We start from the raw sequence: 3,384 nt of genomic DNA, 5'->3' as shown, positions 1-3,384 counted from the left end.
CATCATTCTTTAAGACACCAAATTTTGGTGTGATTTGAGTTGTGTGTTACTAAGCCATAGTAACTGGAACAGTGGATTAGTGTTTTTGTTACTATTGTATGTGTGTGTGTGCATGTGTTTTTGGAGAGGAGAGTTTATGCATCTAATCAAAAGTTCAGTTTTCAACATAGGCATGAGAGATACACAAGTTGGTATGTCAAATATGCAGTAGAATATATGAGTTCAAAGTTTAAAGGAAAACTTTAGAACAGAAACATAGGGATATTTGTACAGATTATAAGTAAAATATGTAAAATGAGGTTTAGGAGGAAAAATAGTGTAGATAAGTTAGTTTCTAAAAAGCTAACAAAATATATAAAGTAACTGAGAAATCATCAAAATCAATGCTTTGGTCTTCAAATGACCAGGTCTCAGGGGTTAGGTATCAGCACTCAATATACTTCTGCATTGAGAATAAATAACAATAAGAACAAGAGCAATCATGTATTTAGTTTACTATATGCCAAGTATAGTACGACAGAACTAAATTAAACATATATATGATCTATTTTTGTCATCAGATTAAACCCACGAAAGTTTTTTAAAAAAATTTCCCTCAGTTAAGAGATGTGTGATAATAAACAACCCATAGTCACATAATCAGTGACTGGTAAAATCTTAGTTTTGGCTTAATTCTGTGTGACTCCAGCTAAACTGTGTTTTTTTTCCCCCCTTATAAATGTTTTAATCTATTCATATCTAGAACGAATTTCCTAAGGCCTGTTTAAGTATGTGTTTCATTCCAGAATTTTCATACAATAAAACATAAAATGTCAAAAACAAAAAGGAAGTAGTTTTAGAGTATTTTATAGCATATTGCTTGCTCAGACTATCCAGAATTTTCATTTTCTCTCAATTGCTTCATCATTTTGAAACTTGAATCTTCTAATGGCTATTTTTTTAAATATTGAAATAATACCTTTAGCGAAGTTCAGAATGCATAGGTAGTTTTTTCATAATAAATAAAAACAATACTATCACTTCTATCTTGAAATTACATTGCATTTTTTCTCTACTGATTACAGTAAAAAATGTAACCTTACATGCTTTATACTTAAGAGTTTACCAGTGATAGAAATTATTTTAAAAATTTAGGGAAATGTAGTGCTCTGAAATTGGACAATTTATGGTTCAAAACAGAGATTACAAATTTGATATTCAAATACATCAGGTGCAGTCATCTCTAAAATGTTAATTTATAATAATGAGATTTTAAATGAAAAACACAAAAATTCACATTTTTTACATCTTTTCAAATACTTCAATCTCCAACCACATTAAAAGTGAGACAGATGGGGAAAGTGGGACCAGGACCCCTCCCCATTTTTCTTACATGCTCCTGGTTGTGCCAGTCTCACGGACTTGTAGCCACAAACACTTCCTCTCATCGAATCAACCAATCAGACATGAAAGAAACAGAGCACTCTAAAGACAAACATCCTGGCCATCAACCATAGGGATTTTCCAAGAGACCCTTCACAAGTACACAAGCAATGTAATATCATAGCTTGTCCTAACCTAACCTTTGCTTCATTTTAATAGTCAAAATCACATCCCTGGGTGGAAATTTAAGATGCTAATGAAACATGCAATGCATGAAGAAGCATGACACAAGACTGTGAAGGTGCAACCAACAGATCACCCCAAACATGCAATGATGTCACCTGGAAAACATTCAAGAAAGCATAAAAACCAGACTAACTTGCTTTTGGGGAGCCGGCAGCATGTCCCTTCCTGCTGTCTCCCTTTCTGCTACAGCTGAAAGCCTCAGTAAACTGCCTTGTCCAAGCCCATTTCACACTCTTTGAGGGTTGAGATTCCACCACCAGTAACAGTACACAACTCTGAAAATTCCGAGTACATCTGTCTCTCTTTCCGCTACTGATCCACTGGAATTGCCAAGGAATCAAGAAAAACTATAACTGCTTTTAAAATGCAGAATCTCTTTTTATCTCTTTCTCTTTAAACTCAACTTCATATTGTGATCAGTGGTGAGTTAAAGAATTTTTAGGCTTTACCCATGTGTAAATATAACACTTACTGTCATTTTGAGGACAATGAATTTATGCTCTTTTGGTTCAATTCTTTTAAGTATTTCACCCCTCCTTATAAGGAAATATCAAGGGTTAAGTTATAAAATCAGCTTCACTGGAAAAGGATTCAAACTTCCTGAGTTTGACTTTAGAATTTAAGTCCAAGCCACACAACAATTTATATTGTTATAAGTTAAGGTCTCTGTGCCTGAAAAAATATTTGAATTTCCAGTTACAGTTTCATTTAGTTCTGCATTTTACTCTTCCAAATTTTGATTTGAGGACAGCAATGCAAATAGTGGTGAATATATTTAATTGTATTTTTCAAGAAAAGTATTTTTTGTAATTACTCTTTTATTCTAATATATTTTTTTCCTTCTACTGATCGTTTATTTATGCTTATCATATATGTAGTCTTCCTTTATGTGAGATACTAAAGATAAGTAAAAAGAGTCATAGATGTAGTATTCTGGAAAAATGCTAAAGTATTTCTCTTTTTCTATTTTATTATATTTTAGTTATTGGGAAGCAGAGCAATGGATGTTAAACGGTCTCAAAGAGAGGAGAAAAACACACAGAAACGTTTTTGCTGTAGTGCTAGACTGTAGCAATACAACATCAAAATGAATATTGACAAACACATTTAAGAAACCTATCGATTTCTCCACTTGATGTCATACGATGTTACTAGTGGGTTTTTTTTTCATTAAATTATCCAAATTCTGCTTCTTAGCCATAATAGCTTCTATGTTATAAAGAATTAGTGTAAATTTGCTTAACTAGCTATTAATATCATGTGTAAATATAAACAAAATATAGTCAATCCATTTGATTTTGTTGAAAATTTTGTTAATTGATAAAGTCTAAAGATCTATTTAACATTTTTTAAAATTTCCACTGCTTATTTTTTATATTTGTCATAGTATATTCTGAGCCATTTAAATAATAATAATTATCCTCATGTTTGCAATAATCCTTTCAATGTTTTCATACTACATATTATTATCTTTCTCAATTTTTTTCTTATTTACACGCATACATAATTAGCTTGGAGACAGAAAAAAACTGATACACCGAAAGATCACAATATAAAGAAGCTGTAAAAAGAATAGCCCACAAAACCAATAAATAAGTTAAATTGTCTAATTCAAAAAATTAATTCCATAGAATTGGGTTCAAACAGACAAAGCTAAAATTATCTTAGGGAAGCTTTATAATCTCCAGCTGTTTTGAAATGTCTAAAACCAGCTATTTCTGAAAGAGAATATGTGAATTTGATTCTTAAAACTTTAGCTTGACATTTTCGGATCCC

This window comes from Homo sapiens, chromosome 4, assembly GCF_000001405.40.
Source record: "Homo sapiens chromosome 4, GRCh38.p14 Primary Assembly".
NCBI classification, from domain to species: Eukaryota; Metazoa; Chordata; class Mammalia; order Primates; family Hominidae; genus Homo; species Homo sapiens.
Note: the sequence above shows the minus strand (reverse complement) of the source record.